This window comes from Homo sapiens, chromosome 4 (genome assembly GCF_000001405.40).
Source record: "Homo sapiens chromosome 4, GRCh38.p14 Primary Assembly".
NCBI classification, from domain to species: Eukaryota; Metazoa; Chordata; class Mammalia; order Primates; family Hominidae; genus Homo; species Homo sapiens.
Genome location: NC_000004.12, coordinates 21518345 through 21545035, shown reverse-complemented (window position 1 = coordinate 21545035; position 26691 = coordinate 21518345). Strand labels below are relative to the sequence as shown.

The following is a 26691-nucleotide window of genomic DNA, read 5'->3' as shown; positions in this document are numbered from 1 at the left end:
TTTCATCCTGTGACTTAGAATGCCTAACCTCCTGGGAATGCAGCCCAGCAGATCTCAGCCTTATTTTACCCAGCCCCTATTCAAGATGGAGTCGTTCTAGTTCAAATGCCTCCGACAACTTAAAAGTATAAAGCTTTCTCCAACCAGTGGCAGAAGAACAAGCCAGAAAGATTTGAAGCAAGTTTATTATGAAAGTAAAGGAATAAAAGAATGGCTACTCCATGGGCAGAACAGCCCCAACAGCTGCTGGTTGCCCATTTTTATGATTCTTGATTACACATTAAACAAGAGGTGAATTATTCATGAGTTTTCCAGGAAAAGGGTGGGCAATTCCCAGAACTAAGGGTTTTGCAAAGGACTTGATGCACTTGAAGGTTTGAAGATGGAGGCTCTGTGTGAGAAGGAATGCAGGGCAGCCTCTGGTTGCAGAGAGCAGCACCCGGTTTGACAGCTAGCAATGCAATTGTGACCTCAGACCTACAATGTCAAGGAATTGGCTTCTGCCAACAACCAGAATGAGCATGAAAGTGGATTAGTCCTTGGAACTTCCAGATAAGAGCCCAGCCAGCTATACTTGGATTTCAGCCTGTGAGATTCTCAGCAGAGAACCCAGTCAAGTGTGTCCAGACGTCCAACCTACAGAACTGTGAGATAATAAATAGATACTTATTTTAAACTACTCAATTTTTGGTAATTTGTTATGTGGAGCTATAAAGTTAATACAATGTCTTAAATTTTTTATGTATGTGTTTGTGTGTGTGTGTGAGAGAGAGAGAGAGAGAGAGAAAGAGACAGAGAGAGAATTTCTCATAGGCTGACTCTAGGTCAGTGGTACTCTATTTTTCAATGCTATGTCAGCCTGAAATAATTGAAAGGACCAGAATCCAGGTTTGAAGAGTTTATTCATGCAAAAAGCTGGGAAAGACCATCCGGAAAATATGAACTCCAGAGAAATGGGATCAGTACTCAGATGTTAAAAGTTAAGGTCTTGCTTATATAGGCAGAAAATAAATCAATTTAACAGTATTATAACATTTTTTGTACAAGGCTAGTTTAGGAGTCACAACAATTTAATAAATTATGGTTCGTTTTCTTATCCATAAAGGTTATTTTTATTTCCTTTCCAATTTAAGAGTATATTTAACATTCCATCGTAGACAATGCGGTAGTCATGAAGTATGTGTGAGAGAAGAAAGATGGAAGGTAATCTATAATGAAAATCAACACTTAAAAGGAAAAAGGTCTTCTTCCCTGGCACCCTTTAGTCATTTGCAACATTTTACAAGACAATGTAGGTAAGGAAAAGGCTAATCTGTAATCGGAGAAACAAAGGTTACACCTGCTGACTTTACAACTGTCTGCTTATGAGATTTAGTTCACATTCCCTTTAAGCTCAAAATATTTTAAAGTTCCAGCAGCTTAAATTTTGAATTACTTATTTTCACAGCTGACATATTAGCTACAACAAAGCAAACAACATAAACAGTATTAGGTCCCTGTTTTTGAATTGGCTTTGAAGTTTACTTACATCATCTAATACCTCTATTGTAGAGCAAATTTAGGTTTCATGGGGTCCAGAGATTACACAGTTTTAGGATTCTCTTATGAAAAAAAAATACATGCTTAAAATATAAAACTAAGTGTAAAAATGAATAGTTAGGATTAGGAATGATCAATTTTGAAATTACAGTTTTTAGAAAACTGACAAATGATATACATATGAAAAAATTAAAAGAGTAACATTCTAAAATAAAATAGCTGCCTTATAGATCTGTGTGATAGTTTTCCTGGTTCTTGCTTGCATAAAGTTGAATGATTTTGCACTACTTTTAGTATAGAAGATAGAAAAATAATTCAGGCTTATCACAGAGTTGATAAACATTTATTTTTTATTGTCAATAGGAAAGCTTTATTTTACTTCATAATTCATTATTTGTAATATTATATACATTTTTAGGATTGTTGTCAAATTTGGGAATGTCTATTGATTTCCTTTAGTAACGTAAGTTGTAATATTTCATGACATTTTAAGCTTTGTTGTACATTAATTTAAAATCATCATTGAATTGACAGTATTCATTGAACAGTTTACTTCTGATAGTCTCATTTTGGTGGTGTATTGCATTTTGTTATTTTAATAAATGTTAGTACTTTGTTTCATTTCAACATGAAATTAATTTTTAATGTAATTATTTGATTCATTATTTATTCCTCTTTGTTACTTAGATTCACTATTCTGAATCCAAGAGCTTCTTCATTACTTCTTGTAAAAATTTCTCTCTCTTGTACTAATGATTGTTTCTTTTGGTGTGTTCCATATATTTATATATATATTTTTATATATATTTGATGCTATTACAACTTTCTTCTTCATGCAACGTAATTCGTAAGTTCACAATTTCACTTTTTATTTTGATCACTTTTGTTTTACATTGTATTATTACTTTAATCTAAATTCTACCACACTTCTTTAATAACTTGCTTTATAAATATCAATAAAGGTAATTTCATAACGTCCTAATCAAGAGCTTTATATTTTTCGCTATTTTATTGAAATTTTAAAACATGTTTATAAATTGTAATTAAAATGATATATTTGAGCTTTCTCAAGCTTTTGAATATTTTCAAGCTCGATTTTATTTGAGTTATTTTTTCAAGTCTTTAAAAATATATTTTTGAAGCCTTAAAATATTTTTGACTCTAAGTTATTAGGCTTAACTGACTTTGAAATGAGCAGTCCATCCACTATTCCTGTTCTTCCAGAGTTGGGGACTTCCAGTGATGCTCATTTCACTTTTGGGTCGCCTTTGAATTATGACACTAGATGAGTTGGCACATTGGGTGGTAGACACATCTGTGGAAGCCATTCCTACCCTAGGACACTCATCCATAACCTGACTGTACATAAAAAGCTATGAACCCATAAATAAAACTACATGTTCTCTTACTTAGCTGCATTCTAAAAATGTCCACAGTTGCCTTCAAGTCTAAAAGATATGAAAGAAAGCGTGCCATAGAAAACTTGTAGCAGAAAAGGAGCAGTATTAACTAATTATAGTTAAACTATCTTACTTTCTAAATATTAGAAAATTAGGCGGGGCTTGGTGGCTCATGCCTGTAATCCTAGCATTTTTGGAGGCTGAGGTTGGAGGATTGCTTGAGCCCAGGAGTTGAAGATGAGCCTGAGCAACATAAGGAGACTCCATCTCTACAAAAAAATTTTAAAAGTAGCTGAGCCTGGTGGCAGGTGCCTGTGTTCCTAGCTACCCAGGAGGCTTATACAGGAGGATCACTTGAGCCCAGGAAGTCAAAGCTACAGTGAGGGTGATTATGCCACTGCACTCCAGTGTGGGTGACAGAGTGAGACCCTGTCTTGAAAAGAAAAGAAAAGAAATAAATAGAAAGCTTATAAGACTATATGACTTGAACATTTTGCTAGAATTTATTGGGTAGGATACTGGACTGTGCAGTGGAGGGGTCTGAAGCCTAAGCTTCGTTAACTTCACTATAAATCTGACTCTGGAGGTGGCACAGCGTTCCTTAAAGGTTACCTTTGACATTCTTTTATACAGTGAACTCTCCACTCACTCCCAGAGCCTGACTGCCTGGCTCAAGTTTAAGACTAGAATAAACATTCCCTCAGGGAAAGGAAAAGGGTAAGAGTAGGTTTATCAGCATAGGAATGTCAATAAATTGGGATAAGGCTGAAGCACTACTAATCAAAGAACAAGTTGGGAATTTTATCAGACTGCAGTACCAACTCAGGTTGATATTGATAGCCAAGTGGATGAGAGATGTCTTAGGATCTCTGTAATTTTTTCATCTCTCTCTCTCTCTCTTTTTTTTTTTTTTTTTGTTTTCTTTTGTGATGGAGTCTCACTCTGTTGCTCAGGCTGGAGTGCAATGGCACAGTCTCGGCCAGCTGCAACCTCTGTCTCCTGGATTCAAGCAATTCTCCCACCTCAGCCTCCCAAGTAGCTGGGATTACAGGCATGCGCCACCATGCCTGGCAAATTTTTGTATTTTTAGTAGAGATGATGTTTCACCATGTTGGACAGGCTGGTCTCAAACCCCTGACCTCAGGTGATCCACCCACCTCGGCCTCCCAAAGTGCTGGGATTACAGGCGTGAGCCACCGTGCCAGGCCTCATCTCTTGATTTATGGTCATGAGTGATGCTTTAAAACACTCTAAATAATAGATCATGTGGCCTCAAAAGAAGGACTGAAAAAACCTCTGAACACCTACAGCAGGGCCTCCAAACAATGCATTCCTGTCCTGTGAGGTGATAATATGTATTCTTTATAAGTTAGATCTGTAGTCAAAAACGTTTGGTAAATAATGGATCAAACAAGATTAAACTAGTTTTTCTTTCTACAGGAGTTACCTTGATCCTTTCATAAGCTACTAAAATTTGTACATGTTTAAGAGTAAGATAAAGTACAGTGAATCATCATTATTTAGGGTAGTTATATTTTATAAAGTCATCTTGAACACTGAATTGGTGAATCCAGAGCCATTGTTTTTAGGGGAAATGCAAGGTAAGGTTAAATTCTCATGAGCCTCTCTCTTGTACGTATTCTCCTGATTTGAGCCTTCATGCTGAAGTACCCATGCTCACAATTTTAGCTGTGGCTCACTGTTAGAAAACTGTTGCTGAAATGTTATCTATGTACATGTAAGGTTGTCTATTTTTGTTATTAAAGGTTGTCAGGTGACAGTGTGACCGTATACTATAAATTGTAGAACTTCTTCTTTTAAATATTTGGCAATATGACTGTTTTGTAAAAGCAAAAAACAGACTCCTCCCAAGATAACATGTGCTCTAGGATTCATACAGAAATATATTTGGTGAGGCCACATGGTTTAGTAGAAAGAAATATTGAGATTTTCAAATCTGAAGGCCTAATTAAGTTTAAGACCCAGTATTAATATTGGTTATAATAATGCGTGACTACATACAAGCTAATAAAACTTTGTTCACTCCTATTTGAGCTTGTGTAAATAAGCACAAAATAATTCTTTTTTTTTTTTTTTGTCTGTTTGTTTGTTTGTTTTTGAGAAGGAGTCTAGCTCTGTTGCCCAAGCTGGAGTGCAATGGCACAATCTCAGCTCACTGCAACTGCCACCTCCCGGTTCAAGCGATTCTCCTGCTTCAGCCTTCCGAGTAGCTGGGATTACAGGTGCCCGCCACCATGCCCAGCTAATTTGTGTACTTTTAGTAGAAACGGGGTTTCACTGTGTTGGCCAGGCTGGTCTTATACTCCTGACCTCGGGATCCGCCTGCCTGGGCCTCCCAAAGTGCTGGGATTACAAACGTGAGCCACTGTGCCCGGCCTCACAAAAGAATTCTTACACAGCATATAAAATGGTATCTGACACTGAGTTTGAAGTGGAAGGGGAACTCAGTAAATGTCAGCTCAATCTGGACATGACTATTTCAGTGATCCATTTCCTGTAAGATCTGATACAAATCTGTAAACAAAGTCATTGGGCATTATGGATAATTTTTAAATTTTCTTAATTTATAATACCAAATAAACCAATGTTAGGAATGTAAAGAATCCCTGAAACTTACAACTGCACTCATCAATTTTGTTTCCATCCCACCCTCCCTTTCTCCCTTCCTTCTTTGGCACTTTCTGTTGGTTATTTTAATTTAGGAATTCTCACTCTTACAAAAGGAGGTCCTGGAGTTTAGGAGAAGATACTTTAGCTGAGGTGATGGAAAGGGTGGAACTAGAAAACTTCAGAGGCCTTATTGCATTTGTGGCAGTTCAAATGGTGCTTTTATGCATTGGATGGATTTTGAGAGTGTATTAGTTCATTTTCACACGTTATAAAGAATTGCCTGAGACTGGGTAATTTATAAATAAAAGAGATTTAATTGACTCACAGTTCTGCATGGCTGGAGAGGCCTCAGGAAACTTACAATCATGGCAGAAGGAGAAGCAAGTCCTTGCTTCACAAGGCGGCAGGAGCGAGAGAGAGCAAAGGGGAAACTGCCACTTTTAAGCCATCAGATCTTGTGAGAAGTCATTCACCGTCAGGAGAACAGCATGGAGAATCCACTCCTACGATCCAGTCACTTCCCACCAGGTCTCTCCCTTGACACACAGGGATTACAATTTGAGATGAGATTTGGGTGGGGACACAGAGCCAAACCACATCAGAGAGCTGTTTGTTTTACAATGTATGTAACAGTTTTGTGATAACAGTTTTATGTTTTCAGTCGTGCCACATTCATATAGAGAACATACCGGCATTACAGAGCCTTGAGTGAGATTTCACATAGCTCAGATGCCGAAACACAAGTCTTAATAAAACCACTGGGTAATGTGTGCTCCATGTGAAGGGTGTGTTTCTACTTCGTGCCATTTTATTATATCACAATATAAACACAAGCATGGGGCATAAAATATTGGGGGGAAAAGGAAATACTGGGAACCCCATGATGTATGCATTAGCTTGTAAGCCAAGGAATAATGAGGAAGAGGAGGATGAGAAGTCATTGTCTGTGGCTCCTTAGAAAAGAAGCAACACACTGGAGTTAAAATGAAGTGGAACACTCTTTTACCTTCCTCCTCTATGTCTATAGACACTGATACGTGTCCCAGATTCCAGGTATACCTCTCCATTGTTCCATATTCTCAACGCTGAGCATAGCACCTTGCATGTGGTACATGGATATTTATGGATGGTGTGTTAGTTTCCTAGGGTGACCATAACAAAGTATCACAAACTGTGTGGTTTAAAACAATAGAAATTTACTATCTGACACTTCTGGAGACTAGAAGTCTAAGATCAAGGTGTTGGTGGGACATACTACTTCTAAACATGCTGTAGAAGTCTCCTTTCTTATCTCTTCTAGCTTCTGATGGTTGGTGGTAATCCTTAGCATTCTTAGGCTTATAAATGCATCGCTCCAATCTCTGCCTCCATCTGTTCATGCCCTTCTTTTCATTATCTGTATCTCCATCTCCAAATTTCCCTTGTCTTTTTTTTTTTTTTTTTTTTTTTTTTTTGAGACGGAATCTCACTCTGTCACCTAGGCTGGAGTACAGTGGTGCAATCTCGGCTTACTTCAACCTCCGCCTCCCTGGTTCAAGCTATTCTTCTGACTCAGCCTCCCGAGTAGCTGGGATTACAGGCATGTGCCACCAAGCCCAGCTAATTCTTGTATTTTTAGTAGAGATGGGGTTTCATCATGTTGACCAGGATGGTCTCGATCTCCTGACCTCGTGATCCGGCCGCCTTGGCCTCCCAAAGTTCAGGGATTACAGGCGTGAGCTACTGCGCCAGGTCAATTTCCCTCTTCTTGTAAGGATGATAAGGACACAAGTCAGATTGGGTTCAGGGCCCTCTCTAATACAGTATGACTTAATCTTGACTTGATTATATTTGCAAAGACTCTATTTCCAAATAAGGTTATATTCACAAATTCCAAGTAGACACGAAATTTTAAGGAACACTATTCAACCCAGTACAGATGGTGATATTTTTTTGTATTTTTTCTTTGTTTTTGTTTTCCGCAATGTGCCAAGGGCTACATTATACACACAGAAAAGTGGAGAGGTTCCTGTACTTTCAGATATAAGGATTTAAAATATTGTAGTGCTGATGTGGTGGCCTGAACTTTAATGGATAAAAGGTATTAAATGGCATGCAGTGATGAGGTGTGGCAACATCACCCATCGCCACTATCCATAAGCAGCAGTTTTACACATTAAAGCCACCCTCAACAGTATGCTTGTACTGTATACAGAATTTAAGTTTGAAAATGACCAGAAAGGTTTGAGGTACTTCTACATTTGCCAGAACCTTGATCTCCTGTAGAGTCTGAGAAATCAAAGATTACCAGGTATGTCTGTGCTTATTCAGCCCCCAATGTGTGGTGCAGTGTAGATCCTGATTCTTCATTGAATGAATGTAAAGTGTGGCCACAGGGAAATGAGATGGTTGTGTGGCTTTATAGAAATTTCCTCTTATTACTTTATGGCCTCAGTGTGATTTCATAGTTGTTTTCTGCCACTGGTAAATGTTTGAGGGGTAGAAATTATTTGGCCTGTTTTGGAAACAGCAGAGTGTAATAGAATAAAATATAGATTTTGGCTTTGAAAGAAACAGGGCTCAAGATCCAATGCTAAGATTTATTAACTTTGGGTAAGTAATTATCCACTGTTCGTTTTGTTTGCTTTATTTTTTAATATAGAGATAATAAGAACCTATTCTCAAAGTGTTACTTTTTTTTTTTTTGAAACAGAGTCTCATCCTGTCAGCCAGGCTGGAGTGCAGTGGCGTGATCTCGGCTCACTGCAACCCTTGTTTCCTGAGTTCAAGCGATTCTCATTTCTCAGCCTTCTGAGTAGCTGAGATTACAGATACGCACCACCACACCCAGCTATATTTTTTGTATTTTTAGTAAAGACAGGGTTTTGCAATGTTGGCCAGACTGTTCTCGAAGTCCTGGCCTCAAGCGATCTGCCTGCCTTGGCCTCCCAAAGTGCTGAGATTACAGGCTTGAGCCACCGTGCCCTGACGTGTTAACCATATTAAATGAGGTAATATATGTAAACACAGTAGCTGCATAGGAAATAGTCCTTTCATTCGTATTTTGGTTACTTGTCATTTGTTTAGCTGAAACTTAAAATACAAAGTAAAACAAATACACAAAATACTAAGAAAGCAGAATTAGTAAATGCAACTATGCAACACTGAAGGAGAATTTTCCTGCAGAATCAGAATCTATACAGCATGTTAACTTGCAATATTGCCTGGCTTGCAAAATCTCAAATACGTAGCCTCAGCAGGACACCAGCTGGGCCCATAAATGTTGACATTTATGCTCTGTTGGCCTGGTTTTCTCTTGTTGACCTTCTGGAATTATATAAGGCATTCCTGACGCAATGAAGCCTCCCCAGCTGAACCTTCCTGTCTCTTACGTTGCCTAGTTTCTGTGAGAGTTTGTTTGGGTGAGAGTCTCCAGGAATCACTGTCAGGCAGGTGACAGACAGCCCATGATATCATCACTGGACCTGGTCACTGTCTTGTGATTGCAAAGGGAGATAGAAGGTGAGATATACCAAGGGAGATGATTTGGAGACTCAGATTTCTGCTTCAAAATTTTGATTTTCAGGAATGGAGTAGGGCCCAGGAATTGACATTTTAAAAGCCCTTTAGGGATTGTTGATCTAGATAATCCACATGCCTATCTTTGAAAAACCTTAGGATGGAAATAAATATAATATGTAGTCAGAGTAATGAAGAATCCTGAGATTAGGATACATTCCAAAAGTAAGGAATAACATAAACTATGGAGCACATTTCATTTCTCCAATTCATATAGAAGTATGTTTTTAAAACGCAGGATTAAGGAAACTAGCAGGCTTCTTGTCTCTATTGAAATAAAATAGATGTTTCAGAAAAATAGTTGAGTCTGAAATGCCGCAAATCAAATGAGGGTAACTATGCTTCATTTGTCGTTGCTAGCTTAAATCATGGTTCTTTACAGAAGGGAGAGTTTGGCAAAAAAAATATAGAAACATGCGATTCATAAAAAAATCAGTAGAGTTTAGCACCTTTGAGAGAACTCTAATTTGAGATGGTAGACCTTGAGTCTTACCGGGAAGTATCCTCAGCCAGTGAAACACACCTTTCTAGTTTTCATGCTTCATTGAAAACATATGTCGAAAATACCTTATTTAACTCTCTCCAAGTCCTCAAAAATAAAGCCTTCTGAGTAGACTTTTCTATACATTGGAAGAACACTGTGTCCAATTCTAGCTTTAGAGCTAAAAGTATTAAAATTATAGATTTTGGCTCTTTAAACTTGCCTACTGAATGGAACTTGGTCAGCCTGATTTAAGCCTAATTTAAGCCTGTGTTAAGCCTAATTTTATTCATCTTTAGAGCAGCAGCTGCTTTTTGCTTACAGACTAAGTAGTGTAGTAAGTAGTTAATAAGTTTGCGCAGAATGGAGTAGAGTGGAGTGGAATGGAATGGAATACAGTGGAGCGAATGGAAAAAATGGAATGAGATGGAATGGAAAGGGATGGAATTGAGTGGAGAGGAACGATACAGCATTGAATGCCTGAGTTTGACCTTGAACAATTCAAGATGAATTGACAGCATCATGTTTCAAAGCCCTACGATGTGAAGCTGACTGTGATCAGGGATACTTCACCAAACTTCTGCCCCTCATGGAGGTCCTGTCTGAAGCTGCAGCACCATCCCCTGCAGGCACTGGGCTATTTCTGAGGTTTCAGATGGGCTCGTGGTTCTCCTGGGCTGTGATCTGCCAGGGTGTGTGCTCTGGGAAGATGTGTCCTACAGGCAGTCATTCAGCAGCCCCTCATGAACACAGTACTTCATGAAGCACTGGAGGGCTGAAAATGGAAAGGGCACTTATGGCTACAATTGTCACCATTCTATACCTGTGTCACATTATCCCTTAGAAAGGCACCATAATGTAGTGGTCAGGAACTGGACTTATCAGATGATTTGGTTTTCAATATGGGCACTATCACTACAGCTATGGACTCAAGCAACTTCTTAAGATTCACTTTACCTTTATTTCCTCACCTGCAAAATGGGAATAGTACATTCATCAAAATCCCATTAAAATTAAATGAAAATAAAATCCATAAAAGTCTTTATCATATTCCCTGTTCAGGATAAATACCATATGAATGCTAGTAATTTATTTAAAGAACAAGATATTACTGATATGCTCTTCTAGTGCACTGCAGTGTCTGTAAAGACAACATCGATCTCCCCATGTGTTCCACAAGCAATATATTTGTCTTCACAGAAATAATTAGAGCTAACATTTGATATATGTGTACTTTATACACATTGCTATGCTATGTTTTATGTGCATTTGACACCAAATTATCACAGGTTTTATACAGTAGGTCCTATTGCAATTTTATAAAGAAGGAAACTGAGGCACTGAGATGGTGAATAACTTATCAATAATCATATATTTAGTGTGTGACAGAGCCGTAATTCAAATACAGTAGTCTAGCCAAAGGTCATATGGTTAAGTACTACTCTACCCTACTGTTACCATCATTTAAGTAGCTTTAGGCTTTTTCAGTTTCTGTAAAGCTTTCTACAGGAACCATCTATCCTGTATCTAATGTGTCTGCTTCTATGGCTTTCCAGAGCTCAATGGCTATTCACAGCACTTGATTGACTATGAATCTTTTTACTTTCTTGTAACTTCCTAACATGATTTGCAGGAATTGGTCCAGATTCATTTCTTTTACATCGTCTAGCCTCAATTTCTTAATAAATGGGTTTTATAGTATTCGCTGAGAAGGAATAAGTAAAATACCTAGCTAACACAGTACCTGAAATAAATAAGGGACTATTAAAAGTTTTTTTCTGTTTTTCCTTATTAAGTATCCATACTTACCCCACAAATAAATTTCTGTTAGTTTAAAATCAACATGGCTATTCTCCAGAAAGGTATCCTTGATCATGATACCTTCTTGTGACTTATTTAATTTGTGTTGGAAATAACAGATGGAAATGGTCTAAAATGGGGTAAAATAATTCATCCGGTCTTCAGGCTAGACAAGCTATTGGTTCTGGACCACATTTTGGTGTCATCTATATTTGACTCTTTTAGTCTTTAAAAATCAGTCAACCCATTAAGCAAACAATTTGCTTTTAGTCCTTTTAGTGATATTATTTCAAAAGGGGGAGATTTTGAATAGCAAACAGAGCAGGAATAGCATCGTGTTGTATACCTGAAATACATACAATAAAATTTATTTAAAAAATGAAAATTCTAACAGTTTAAGTGAGAGAGCATATATTCATGATATGGCATTTCATAGCTTTTATTTTGATACTTAGAAGTATTGCTACCTTCATGATTTACAGACTTTAAACATCAATAATTGGCTCTCTAAAATGGATTTTAAACTTCTTTGGAAGCAGGTACTATATAGCTTGGGACAATATTATTGTTGGTTCTGGCTGGCAGGTGTAGAAGAGTATATATATACATATGTATATATACATATATATACACACTCACACATATGTATGTATTTTCTCTTTAATTAATTAGCTTTTAATAGGAAATCTAACAACCTTGAGATGCAATTTAGAAAAGGAATAAAAGCTATTTTTAAAAATCTTGGATAATATAATATGGTAGATTCCTGTAATTTAAAACAAACGCCAAGGTTAAGTAGAATGCATCCCCTCCAGAGATCCATATAATTTAGAATATGTTTCAGTTAGCAGGCTTAACACTGCTGCCTGCCCATCAGCCACTGGGAAAATAATAAAAACCTAAAGGCAAGTGGCTACACTAGCTTGTCAGCAAGTTCATACATACAGATTGATTTTAACCTTCTCTGATTTAGAGATACTTCAGATGAAAAAAGCTTATATTAATTATTGAAACAAAATTTTAGTGGGGAAAGTATCTACTGACTTGTGAGACCAGAATGCTGCTATGTGTGGTGTTACAGTTCATATTTCTGAGATTTCCCTCTGCCTGTGTGCTTCCCACTGTGGTCTTTCAGCATGCACAACAATGGAGAGAAACTTTTCCTGTGCATTTCGAAATAACTTGGTGTTTTTATTAAAGTAGTATTTTGTTGTAATAAAAAATGTATCTATTATTAAGTATGTTCATGAACATCACTACAAAATAAGATGATTGCAAGAATTGTTTTTAAAATGCAATTGCATGAAAACACACCTAATATCTTAGGCTTCATAACAAAGAAATGCAGTTTTATCATTGGTCTTATGTAATAATTATTAACCTCAGAAGAACCCCACATATTTTTGCAGTGAAGAAAACCTGATTTTCAAAATGTAAATGTGCATCTATCTCATTATATCTCTGCATTTATATATACATATTCCTTTTTCTCTATCACAGCGACTTCGTTTTGCAGTTAAGTGTTCCAAGACTCAAAGTATACTGACACATCAGAAATGATTTTCTGAAAATATTCAGAAAATATGTATCATGCACCGAACACTCTGACAGTTGCTGAAAATAGCAAGGCACCCTCAATTTCCTACCCACCTCATTCCTAACTTACTTCATATAATTATTTTTTACATCAAGGCTTGAAAGCATAAGACTTTCTTGTACTTTGACTTTACATTATATTATTGCTGACAATTAACTACTTCATGTATTTAACACCTAAAGTAGAATAAAATAATATATTTAAAATACTAGGTTAAAAAAAATAATCTTACCTCCAGGCAATAACTTTTTACTTTTTTTCAACCCCATTGTCATCATTATTATTTCAGATTCAAGATTCTTGCCCTTTCCTGACATTATAGTAAATAACAAGTTAAAGAAACTGCAGCTTTAGGCCGGGTGCGGTGGCTCACGCCTGTAATCCCAGCACTTTGGGAGGCCCAGGTGGTTGGGTCATTTGAGGTCAGGAGTTCCAGACCAGCCTGGCCAACATGGCAAAACCCCATCTCTACTAAAAAATACAAAAATTAGCCAGGCATGGTGGCCAGCACCTGTAATACCAGCTACTCAGGAGGTTGAGGCAGGAGAATTGTTTAAACCCAGGAGGTGGAGGTTGCAGTGAGCTGTGACTGTGCCACTGCACTCCAGCCTGGGCAACAGAGAGAGACTGTCAAGAAAGAAAGAAAAAGGAAGGAAGGAAGGGAGGGAGGGAGGGAGGGAGGGGGAGGGGAAGGGAGGGAGGGAGGAAGGAAGGAAGGAAGAAAAGAGAGAGAGAGAAAGAAGGAAAGGAAGGAAGGCACTGCAGCTTTCAAAACTACTTCCCAATTTCCTCTGTCACCCCTCTAATTCTAGATGAGGCAAGATAAGCAGGTTGGTTTTCACTTGGAAGCCTAGAATTGCAAGCTTGCAAGCTGAAAGAGCAGGTTAGTGCTCCTGACTCCCTAAAAACCAAATAGCCAGGCTTTTCCTTCTGCAAGTAGTCATGATTTTTATTGGGAGAGAAATGTTTTGACTTGAGCCCTCAACTTAGCTTTTAAAGATTACAGTTCCAAGCTGTGAACATTGGATCTGGATATACATGCACCTATCTTGGAGCTTCTGGAAAACCAACCCTGTGGCCTTTGCTTAGACCCAGGGCAGATAGTTCAGTGTCTTAGCTGTGAGTGTAGCTCATACCTTTGCTTATGCTCTGGTGATCTGTCCTGCCATCCTCAACTTACTGATTGTGGACACAGCTGTCTGTTGATGTGCAAGTGCTGAGAAAGCCAGGACTTGGTCCATCTTGTTTAGTCTGATCCTTAAAAATTATCAATAAATATTTACTGAATGAATAAACAAATAAATTAATATACTTATTTTATTGTGGTACTTGGAAGCTTTTGATAACTCCTTATCCAATGATATAGAATTAGCTTAAACAATGAGTCCTATGTAGCTTTTAAGACATTTACAAAGAGCTGAGAGCTCTCATGGTCTATGCGTTGCCTTCCTTGTGCATTAATATATTATATCAACAATTATTTGCCCAATTTTTACCAAATTTTTGCTGGTATCTTAAAAATTATTTTGAAAAGTTATACACATTTATTCAGACTGTATTTTCCTAAGTATTGATATATTATAAAATAGAAAGAAAAGCAAATATTTAAAGAATAAAAACTTTAAAGACAACTACTCACCAAACTGAATTGTAAATAAAATGTTTTAAAGAATAATACAGTCATGTTTGTGACATTTGTTTACTCCCAGTTTCAGGGTTGTGTAGGGCTCAAGACTGTAGCTAGAGCTGTATAACCTAGGAAACAAAAGTACATTATGTATTTGACAGCAGATTTTTTTTGCCACCAAAAATTATAAGGAGAAACACATTTGATCCGGAATATTCATTGAAATATCTTAGTGCTTCATACAAATTGAGGTTAAGAAACTTGCCCTTTCCCTATAAGACTGTCTGAAAAGTTAGCATGGTCATGACACCTTATACTGCTGTTTGGAAGATTAGATGCGCTCAATTGTAGACTGTATACAGCGCACTACAAAGTGCCTGATGCCTAATAAGTGATCAATATGTGCTAGCTATTATTTACCACATAGTGGAATGATGACAGAATGAAAAGTCTTCAGAGTTCCTCGCGAACTGTGTTTCAATTCATTAGATTGATCAAACGTTCAATCCTCTCTATTCACTGAACATGATCAAAGCTTAAGTTTTCAAGACATGCCATGATGTATTTCATGTTAAGAAAGGCCAGATAGCCTCAGATTCACAAAGCAATAGTACACTTGTATTTTATCTCATAATACCTGAGATCATGCAAGAGAGACCATAATGATGATAATGCCTCTCTTGACATTCTCTCTTGAGAGATTTCATGGTCTCTTCCCATCTCTTTCTGCTTATATCCTGAAATGGAATCCAAGGATTTACTACCATCCAGGGTGTCTTAAAAAGTATAACAAGGATAGAAGGAGGTCTGAGAATATTTTATTATAACAAACCCTCTTTGAAGAAAAAGAAGATAAAAAAAACTAAGATTGATTTCTATACAATTTTATGGCACATTCCATTAGTTTCAGCTCCAACTCATCCTGTTATCTCAAAACTGAATTATCTCAGCTGTAGTGTGAACTTTTCCACTTCCTGAACTTATCTTAACCTGAGGAAGTGTGCTTTAACCACTGTCTGGAACTTGTACATATCCTTGGTACTTGATGTTCCGTCACTGAGTGAGCTGTGGACACAGGTGTTCTTAATGTATTTTGCACCCTTTCTCCTCTTCTGCAGTTGCACAGTTTGTATTATCATTTCCCTTCCTATTCTGTCTTGATTCTGGGCTGAACTTAATCCATTTGTCTATAGTAGGGGTCAGCAAATAATGTCTATGGGCCAAATCCATGCTGCTGCCTATTATGGTAACTGCTGAATTAATCTTGATTCTATTCCAGTCTCCTTAGTCTTCATTCTCCTAATTCAAAAATAGCTGCTGCACTGTATCTTCCTTCATGCTCTGGGCAGGAGGAAAGAACAGAAGCAATATGGAGGAAGGGGCAAAACCTGTAAAAGGACAGCAAAACTTTTGCAGAAATCCTAAGCAGGCTTTTCATTGGCCGAAAGCCATGCCACATGACCACTTGTAAGGGTGCAAGAACTTGCAGCTTAGCTGTAGTGTTTGCCACAACCCCCAAAATTGAATTTCCCTTCCTTCCTTCCTTCCTTCCTTCCTTCCTTCCTTCCTTCCTTCCTTCCTTCCTTCCTTCCTTCCTTCCTTTCTTCCTTTCTTCCTTTCTTCCTTTCTTTCTTTCTTTCTTTCTTTCTTTCTTTCTTTCTTTCTTTCTTTCTTTCTTTCTTTCTTTCTTTCTTTCTTTCTTTCTTTCTTTCTTTCTTTCTTTCTTTGTTTTTTATGAGACAGAGTCTCCCTCTGTCGCCCAGGCTGGAGTTCAGTGACGCGTTCTTGGCTCACTGCAACCTCCACCTCCCAAGTTTAAGTGATTGTCCTGTCTCAACCTCCTGAGTAGCTGGGACTATAGGCGCCCGCCACCACACCCAGCTAATTTTTGTATTTTTGGTAGAGACAGGGTTTCACCACATTGGCCAGGCTGCTCTCAAACTCCTGACCTCGTGATACACCCGCATCGGCCTCCCAAAGTGCTGGGATTACAGGCATGAGCCACCATGCCCGGTTGAGTTTCTGTTTCTATGGAGGAAAGCAAACATGAACTGTTGGAGGAAATCAACATGAACTGTCGCTGGTCAAGCATTGTACAATCATTCCAAAAACAACAACAACAATAACTCAAATCCCAGATTGTTTTATTTGAGCCACAGGTGAGTCTCTAAATGAAGTTTAGAGACTGCAAAGTAGTTTAAAGTACTGCAAAGCTGAGTGTTTAAAAAAGCATCGATCTGGAATCAGTGAGAGCAACAACCTGTAATAGCTGAAGGCAGCAGAGAGTGACATTCAATTAAGTACTTTCATTAATCGTTTATAAAATTAATCCTTAGAACTCGATGATACTGTATTAAAATGAAGTGCTGATTAGGACCGACCCCGTGGCAGTTCCTTCAGGAAGTAAGGAATACATAAAATTTTTCATTTAGGCAATGTTCCAGCTTCTATTAATGGGACTTGTACCTAGGAGGATTCCTTACGGGAACAGCAAACATAAATAGAAGCAGGTGATGACCGGACCCTGTGGTACAGTAGTTAAGAGATGCAACAACCATACCTCACTAATTTTGACTAATTAGAAAGAAATTCAGATTGAATTTGCAAAGTCTGATTATACAATATTTAATGTGATTGTCCTACTTTTCCTTTTCGTGATTATACAAATCAGTTTTTAAATCTGACGTAGTTGAGTTTTTCAAGGCATTGTAAATGGTTTCTATTCTATCCATTGAATTTTACGTCTGTAACAGCTACAATGTAAGAGTCATTTAACAATTTTTGAACACCTATTATATGCCAACTACTGTGGTAGGCTCTTTACATCCATCATTTATTTCACATTTATACTAATCCTTAGATAGGTTTTAGTCCAATTTTACTGATTAAAAAATAGGGCAACCCCACTAGAAATGTCAGGACCAGAATTTGAACCAAGTCCTTCCTGCGGCCCAAGTCCATGCCCCTTCCATTATGTTGCAACATCTTCCATGAGTGTAAAAGTAATATAGGCCAAGGATTCCACGTCTCAATGTGGTAGGAATTGTTGATTCTTTCATCTTTTTCTTATTGCTTGTTTTAAAAAAAATATTAGCCAAGGTAAGGGAATGAGTAGAACAATATCAGAATAACTGAGGGTCTCCCTTAGGAGGTCCTATTCAGTTTTGTATTTATGTTTAATATAATCAACAACCCAACAAATCATATTCATTATTATCTTGGACAGTATATGTTCACTTACTACCATTACTTTACTCAAATGGAAACGGCAGCCTAGGCATTATCTGAATGCCATAACCCTTGTAATGGTGGCATCCTAATTAATGAGTTTTAAAATGTTATAAGCCAAATTCTTTCCTCTTAAGTGTGCAGATGTATGTAGGAAAAGCTTAAAGCATTATTGTCAGCCTAAGGGTAGGGGTAGACCCGTTCCCTGAAAACACTATTAAAAAGTACCCTTTTGTGATTTGTTGTGGGTTATATCTGATAAGGAAAAAGCATTTCCTCACATTGCCCAGGCATTTCATTAAAACTCATCTGCTACTGGAGGAGTGAGTTGTTTCAATGAGTAGAAGCATAGACAACCTGGAGTGCTCTCAGCGTTCTTTAATAATATTTCCTTAAAAATTGTTAAATTTTGTTTGTGGAAAATGTATGGAGTTTAACTTAGTCTCTGTAAATATGGCCTCCATTGTGCTGGAATATGAACCCCTAGATCTCATAGAATTCTTTTTCACACTTGTGTTCCTTGTGGTGCAATATCAAGAACAATAGGTGATACATGATTATTAAGACAAATTAAAGTTATAAGCTATATATATATAAATCTATATATATGAATAGATTGATATACATATCAATCAATCAAGGAAAGGTGCATAACTTCAATTTTGTTACATACAGATGAGAATATTATTAAATGCTATATTAGTCTGTTCCCATGCTGCTAATCAAGACATACTCGAGACTGCATAATTTATAAAGAAAGAGGTTTAATGGATTCCCAGTTCCACATGGCTGGAGAGGCCTCAAAATCATGGTAGAAGATGAAGGAAGAGCAAAGGGACATCTTACATGGCGGCAGGCAAGAGGGAGCATGTGCAGAGGAACTCCCCTTTATTAAACCATCAGATATTATGAGACTTATTCACTATCACAAGATCAGCCCTGGAAAAACCTACCTGCATGATTCAGTTACCTACCACAGGGTCCATGTCATGACATGTAGGGATTATTACAATTCAAGCTGTGATTTGGGTGGGGACACAGATCCAAAACATATCAGGTGCTTATTCATATGTTTGTCTACATATCCATCCTTTCATGATGGATCCTTTCATCATATGATGGCATCCATTCATATGCCATCTGCATATTCATTCATCGAAGAAAACTTCCAGTTAAAAAAAATTGGATAATGTTTTTGATTTAGTAATAAGAAAATTGCCTTATTTTTCTTTGTTGTAATGTAGTTTATAAGCTCAATAAAATTTAATTTTCAAAACAAGATAAACTCTTACCTGATTACTAATGATTATAAAAATTAGATAGGAAATAATTACTGCTGATTTCCTAAAATATGTCACAATAACTTGAAGATTGAATTTCTATTAATTATTTCAGTTGTATATAAAGAGTGCATCACTTAAGAAGCAAAGAATAATAATCTATAATTTCTTCCTACACCTCTGAATCCCCAATTTAAAACAACCAGAAGAATAGGAGCTGCTTTTTGCAACAATAATTATTACCCTAGTGATAACATGAGCACTGCTGTATTCTTATCCTTTAAATAAAAAAACAAATGTCATTACAGATTCTGGGAAATGAGCTGCCGCTATACCAATGAGTAAATTATTTAGGATACCACTTATTTTGTGAGGCATCTGTCATTTTTTAAATATTTTTATGGGGGTTGGGAAAGTGGCTGAGTATTTTGCCTGAAGTTCAAATGTAAGCCTCTCTACTCCTCTTCACATTTGAGTTCATAAGTAATGAGAACATCCTTATTTTACTTTTCAGTACTGAACAGTAAAGTCAACATGTGTTTACAGAATACCTACAAATTGTCCAACTAATACTAAGCATTTAAAAAATACAGAGATGAAATTAGGACTATTGCCTCCTAGAAGTTTTCCATATTGTTGGAAAGATAAACTATGCAAAATAAATGAAATATAATGATCTAAGTGTTTTTCCATATACTGTTGTGATTTACATGTGGTTATAAAATCTAACATAGAAGTCTCTTTTTGAGATATTTTTGGTTAAATTGCTCATTCTTTTAATAAGTGGCTCTTTATTGATGTGCACTTTGCTGGTTATTATTTGTCAAATAAAGCATGGAAATTCCCCAAGTTAGGAGAAGGAGAAGATGACTTTCTGATAGCTTCAAGCTGGGCTGCTACTGGCTCTATTGGAAAACAGTCTTCCAGAGGGCAGGAGCACATAACTAACATAGCAAAGTGACTTCTTTGCACATAGTATATGTTGAATTTGTGGTTGTTCAAGTAAATTAAGACAGAAGTCATTCATGGATTCAACAAATATTTATTGACTTCCTGTTATGTGCAAGGCACTACGCATGATGCAAAAAATAAAAAAAAAATCACTAGTCAAGCAAACAGACAGCACTCTTTGCTTTCATGGCCCTTACAATCTGATAATGGAGATAGACAGAAAATATTTCAAAAAATAAGTGATAGGAAGAAAAAGATTAGATGGTATGGAAGGGAATAACACGAGACTGACTTAGAAGGTTTCCCTGAAGAATTTATATTTAAAATGAAACCTAAAGAACGAATAAGTGTTAAGTAAGTGAAGAGTAAAAAGGCAAAACATTAGCAGGTGTAAAAGCCAAAAATGAAAAAGAACTGGATATATTCACAGAATTGAAAGAAGCATAAGAAAAAAAAGTCATAGTGGCTATTGCATAAGTCAGAAAGAAGCTCAATGAGACAACACTTCAGGAAAAATCAGATGCAAGAGCTTACAGTCACATAAACATTTTTGGGAATGTCTAGGGGACACACAATAAATAGCACCTCATTCTTATCTGATTCTGGACAAACATGGGGAAATAATAGGGAAAACATGGAAGCCAAAACATCTGTTTAGTGTGAGAGCCAAATGGGCTCACACCCTAACCCCAAGAATGATAGACACTGTTAACCATCCATAAGAAGGGCTGGAGCAAAGAAAGGCTACCACAGTGAGGCAGGTGAAAATAGGAGTGAGCAGAGAAGAGCATGCCAGCTTATTCTTCCCACACTACCACCCAGATATGTCTATGTCTCTCCATTCTTTCAAGAGTGGAGAAAATAAAGGAGGAGGAGAGAGGCTCAGACTCATACCAAACCTGAGCCCCTTCACAGGATGGAAAAAATGTTGGCAAAGAAACATGGCAGAAATATCATACATTTTGGATATTCTAAATCCATATTAATGTTTTAAGGAAGAAATACATTATCCAATATATCATTAAAAGAGTACTTCAAAGCCTCCATGTAAAGGTGTCAAAAAGCAAAAAAGTCCAGGCACAGTGGCTCACACCTGTAATCTTAGCACTTTGGGAGGCTGAGGTAAGAGGATCGCTTGAGTCCAGGAGTTTGAGACCAGCCTGGACAACCTAGCAAGACCTTGTCTGAAAATATTAATAAAAAAATTACCCAGGTGTGGTGGCACACACCTGTAGTCCCATATGCTCATGAGGCTGAGGCAGGAGGATCACTTGAGCTCAAGAGTTTGAGGTGTCAGTGGGCTATGATTGTACTATTGCACTCCAACCTGGGTGATAGAGACTGATTCTGTCTGAAAGAAAAGAAAGAGAAAGAAGGAAAGTAAAAGGAAGGACGGAAGGAAGGAAGGAAGCAAAGAAGGAAAAGGAAACGAGAAAAGAAAAAGATGAGTGAATATTATTGAGGACTAAGTCATTTCAAATTACCAAAATTGATGCATATTTACATTTAACCTGGCTCCAGGGAATATTATTTATGACTAAATCATATCAAGTCACTGTTAACAGTGCATGCTCATACTAAATATAGCATTTGACGGTGGTAAACACACACAGACACACACACACAACCTATAGAATTAATCACCTCATCTAGCACAGAGGCATTGACACATAAAAAATAAAGACCATAGGTGTCTTAGTTCATTCAGGATTCTTTAACAAAATACCATAAGCTTGGTACCTTATAAATAACAGAAAATTACTTCTCACAGTTTCTAGAGGCTGGGAAGTTCAAGATCAAACTGGACTTGATGTCCAATGAGGACCAATCTTCTTGCTGTAACCTAACATGGTGGAAGGGGCTAGCTAGCTCTCTGCAGTTGGTGAATAGTGTCCCCCCCTTTTTTTTTAATAAGGGCACTTATCCCCTTATGGGGGCTCCGTCTTCATTATCTAGTCACCTCCTAAAGACCCCATCTCCTGACACCATCAGCTTGAATGTTAGTATTCAACACATGGAATTTCAGGGACACAAACATTTATACCTTAGCAACAGGAATAAAAATAAGCAAATATATATATTTTTTACTATGTGCTAAGCAATGTTCTAAGTACTTTACAAATATCAACTTATTTAATCCATTCAATAATCTAATGAAATACATATTGTGATTTTTTTTTCATCCTCACTTTACAGATAACGCTTTTAACATTAGAGGAATGGAGAATTTTGCCTATGGTTGGACAGGTAGTAACTAGTAGAGGTAGGATTTATCTCCAGAGCTCATGATTTTAGCCACTTTGCTACAGATGGATGGGGTAAGGGTAGGAGCATTTGAGGAGCAGTTTGCATTTTTTGTCTTATTTTTTTCTTTTACTGCTTTGGGTAGAAAGGATTAGTCATAAAGAATATACTGTAAGCTGTGTGTGGTGGCATGCACATTTAGTCATAGCTACTCAGGAGGCCGGAAGATCGCTTGAGCCCAGGAGTTAGAGGCTGCAGTGAGCTATGAGTGCACCAGCCTGGGTGACAGGGCAAGACTCTGTCTCTAGAAGAAAAAAAAAGTTGAGGCTGCAGAATATACGGTGGCAGGTGAAAATGTATTTTGCTCTACACATATTTGCCTAAAACATTTTGTACAATAATGTTATTCATTTAGAAAGCTCTCATAAAGAGGTTAAAAAATGTGGTGCCTGCAATTTTTTTTTTCCTGGAGTCTCTGAAGTGTTAAATGAATCTCCTCAGTCAATTGGCATGGGGGATGATTATGTGTAGACTGAAGTAAAATATCCTAACACATATTATATTAAAATAGTCTTGTATTTTACAATCACCTGTCAACTTATTTGCCTCTATTAATGCAGCAGTAACTATAACAGACACATGTTGAAGTAATTAGTGTTTAAATTGTCTCTCAAAACTGCTATGTTTCCCCATCACCCTCTAGAGGAGGTAGAGTTGGTATCATGCCTTGAAAGACAGCTGCTTCTAAGAACTATTAAATGGAGCTTTTTTTTTTTTATTACAATGCTCTCCATGGATGAGGATGCTTTTGTACAATTCACACATGCTTTCCACATTGTTCTGGAACATCTGAGAAAGACACATCATTGAAACAACTTCCATCCATTGCATGGGTAGAAATTACTCTGGCTGCTATGAAGAGAAAGGTAAGAGATGATTAAGAATGAAATTGGAGAGAGCACTTAGGAAGGCATTTCAGTAGTCCAAATTGGAGGAGGTGGTTCTTTGGGTGAAGATAATGAATAGTCAAGATATATTTTTGAGGCAGCCACTCTGAGACTTGCAATTGGGCAATGCAAGAAAGGAATAATTAGATGACAACCCTACAACCAGATTTTTGATATGATGATGTTATTCCTGAGTTAGAGAAGTTAGGGGAGTAGTGGCATGGCAAGTAGTCCTAGGGAACAGGATGAATTCAGTTTTAGATATGTTATTTTTGATATTCTTGTGAAGCCTCCAAGTAGAGAGATCAAAGAAAAAGAGCAAGAGCTGACACTTGATAGAACATGCTGTGTGTTAAGTCCGTTCATGAAGTTTATGTCATGAATTCATTGAATCCTTACCACAACCATATGTGGGAATTAAAGGGACTATTCTATCATTGGCCCCATTTTTCACATGAAGGCAGTTGTATACACAATAAAATGAGAGTTTATATTAAATTACATGGAACAGTTCTTAGTGTGTGTTATTAATATTGAGAAAAGTGTATCTGTTCTGTTTCTTGCTTAGAATATTCACTGAAAATATTTTGGATGTCACTGGATGCCCCTGTTGGATGCTGCCCTGTGGAAGGAGCACTGTGTTTCAAAGCTGGGTGTAGTTGTAGATGGTAATTAAAGGCACAAAAGAGATAAAGCTCTGAAGGACAAATGAATTGAAGAAGATGCAGTGATTATGACAAAAGTACTGGATGCCCAATTCTATGCTTCAACAAGTTCACAATTCTACTTCTCAAGATGATAATAGAGGGCAATTTAATTAAAAGATAATGGAATAAGAATGCTCCGGTATCTTTATATGCCTTAAGAGCATACATTTTCCCCACATAAAAGTCAACCCAGGAATACTGCTTACCCCAATTGAAGTAGTCTATAAATATCACACATTTTGGATAAAGTATATTGAAACAAGAATGGTAGAAATGTTTTCCTAAATTATTTTCTCAGGTGGGCAGGCAGCATTTTTCATTTAAAAATAAACTATCCAAGTTAAAGGTAAAAGGAGAAATAGATTGTCTTGCAAAATTTCCTCTGTGGGCTTCTTCATAACACATTGCTTACTCAGGGCTACACACTGTACTGAAACATCAAGCCAAGTTCTGAGTTCACTTCTTAATTAGATACCCCCACAGAAAATAACGCTTCTGTGAATTTTAACTAAGACCTGTAAAAGCAGAGACATTATTCACTTGAGTATGATGTAGCTCTTAAGAATGAGGTCACCTGGGTTCAAATCCCAGCTGCACTAATTCTTAGCTGTGTGACTGTCTTAGTCAATTCTGGCTACTATAACAAAATACAGTAGACCTGGTGGCTTAAACGACAAACATTTATTTTTCACAGCTCTGGAGGCTGGAAAACTGAGATCAGAGTGCCAGTATGGCTGGTTCTGGTGAGGGGCCTTGTGATGGTTAATACTGAGTGTCAACTTGATTGGGATTGAAGGATGCAAAGTATTGATCCTGGGTGTGTCTGTGTGAGGGTGTTGCCAAAGGAGATTAACATTTGAATCAGTGGGCTGGGAAAGGCAAACCCAGTCTTAATCTGGGTGGGCACCATCTAATCAGTTGCCAGCTTGGCTAGAATATAAAGCAGGCCGAAAAACGTGAAAGGAGAGACAGGCCTAGCCTCCCAGCCTACATCCTTCTCCTGCGCTGGATGCTTCCTTCCCTCAAACATCGCACTCCAAGTTCTTCAGTTTTGGGACTTGGGCTGGCTTTCCTTGCTCCTTAGCTTGCAAATGGCCTATTGTGGGACCTTGTGATCAGCTAATACTTAACTATACATATAAAATTAATATATAATTAAATTATATATAATTTATATATATAAATAAATATATAAATATATACACACACATACACACACGTGTGTATACACACACATACACACACGTGTATACACACACATACACACACGTGTGTATACACACATACATACACACACGTGTGTATCATACATATACACACGTGTGTATATATACACATACATACACACACGTGTGTATATACACATACATACACACACGTGTATATATACACATACATACACACACATTTGTGTATATACACATACATACACACACATATGTGTATATATACACATACATACACACACATATGTGTATATATACACATACACACATATGTGTATATACACATACACATACACACATATGTGTATATACACATACACATACACACATATGTGTATATACACATACACATACACACATATGTGTATATACACATACATATACACACATATGTGTATATATACACATACATATACACACATATGTATATATACACATACATATACGTGTGTGTGTGTGTGTGTGTGTGTGTGTGTATCTCTCTCTCTCCTATTATTTCTGTCCCTCTAGAGAACCCTGACTAATACAGGGCTCTTCTGGGCTATAGATGGCTGATTTCTCAAGGTATCCTCACATGGGTGAAAGAGCAACAAAGTTCCCTGGGACCTCTTTTATAAGGGCATTAATCGCATTCACGAGAGCTTCACCCTTAAGTCTCAATCACCTCCCAAAGGCCCCACCTCCTAATACCATCACACTGGGGGTTAGGATTTCAGCATGTGAATTTGGTGGAGAGACATAAATAATCAGTCGATAACCGTGACCGTGGGAAAATTACTCAAGCCCCATTTTCTTCGGTTTGCTCAGTGGGATAAATGGATGTAATAATGGTATTTCTTTATAGGCTTGTTGGGAGGATTCACTAAATCAATTAAAGTGCTTAAAACAGTGCATGGTCCATAAGAGGCAGTCAACTCTTAGCTGTTACTTAAACTGAACATGATTTTGAGTAGGGCTCAAACTCTCTCCTGTTGGGCTCCAGGCTATGCAGGGGTTTATCAAGGAGCTGTTTCAGTGTCCCCGAAAATATCCTGGCAGTTCGGCCACATCCTATGTGGTCTACATTTAGAAATCACTGGCCTGCTCAGAGAACAGAGATGACTTACAGGGGATTCAATTGTGTAATTTCAAATACAAGCTTAGTAGAACCCCATTCCTGATACAGATGAAAAATGACTCTTCTCCACCACAGCGTAGGGATATTTTCATCCGCCGTGGTAATGGCTTACCTCGGCAGGTCCTACCTCTTCAGGTCCTTTCAGTGTCCTCAGGCCTCCCTGAGTGGTTGAGAGCTGAATGGGGCTGAGAGCTTCAAGTTTTCATAGACTGATTCCTCTGCTCACCTTCACCCGCTGCATCTCCCACCAGCAGGTTGCTGTTCAGCCTATATGTGTTTCCTTGATGATTAGAGGGTTAGGGTCTCCTCCACTGTAGAGAAAATGCAAATGGTTTCTACTAGGTGTCTTAGAACTGAC

General features: G+C 37.5%; 1 protein-coding gene and 1 long non-coding RNA gene across 7 annotated transcripts in view, besides 1 other annotated feature; both read left to right on the top strand.

Annotated features, from left to right (window-relative positions):
- KCNIP4 (potassium voltage-gated channel interacting protein 4) overlaps nt 1–26691 on the top strand; it is a 1220167-nt gene that overhangs the window by 403737 nt on the left and 789739 nt on the right. The window contains exon 1 of one of the 6 annotated variants that reach the window (NM_001035004.2): nt 346–646. The exons of the other annotated variants lie outside the window; for them this stretch is intronic. The gene's annotated coding sequence lies outside the window, so the exon portion shown is untranslated. Of the gene's footprint in view, nt 1–345; nt 647–26691 lie in introns of those variants that run through there. 6 annotated transcript variants of the gene reach the window in all.
- Nucleotides 906–1824: an enhancer, noted in NCBI's record as "OCT4-NANOG hESC enhancer chr4:21544835-21545753 (GRCh37/hg19 assembly coordinates)". NCBI's record gives its function as "activates a minimal SCP1, AML or CMV promoter by ChIP-STARR-seq in naive and primed H9 embryonic stem cells {active_cell/tissue: H9 hESC(naive and primed)}" and the evidence as "EXISTENCE:reporter gene assay evidence [ECO:0000049][PMID:30033119]".
- Nucleotides 16600–24345, top strand: LOC124900677 (uncharacterized). Its single transcript, XR_007058073.1, has 2 exons — nt 16600–23262; nt 23852–24345. It is a non-coding gene; the product is annotated as an uncharacterized LOC124900677 (long non-coding RNA).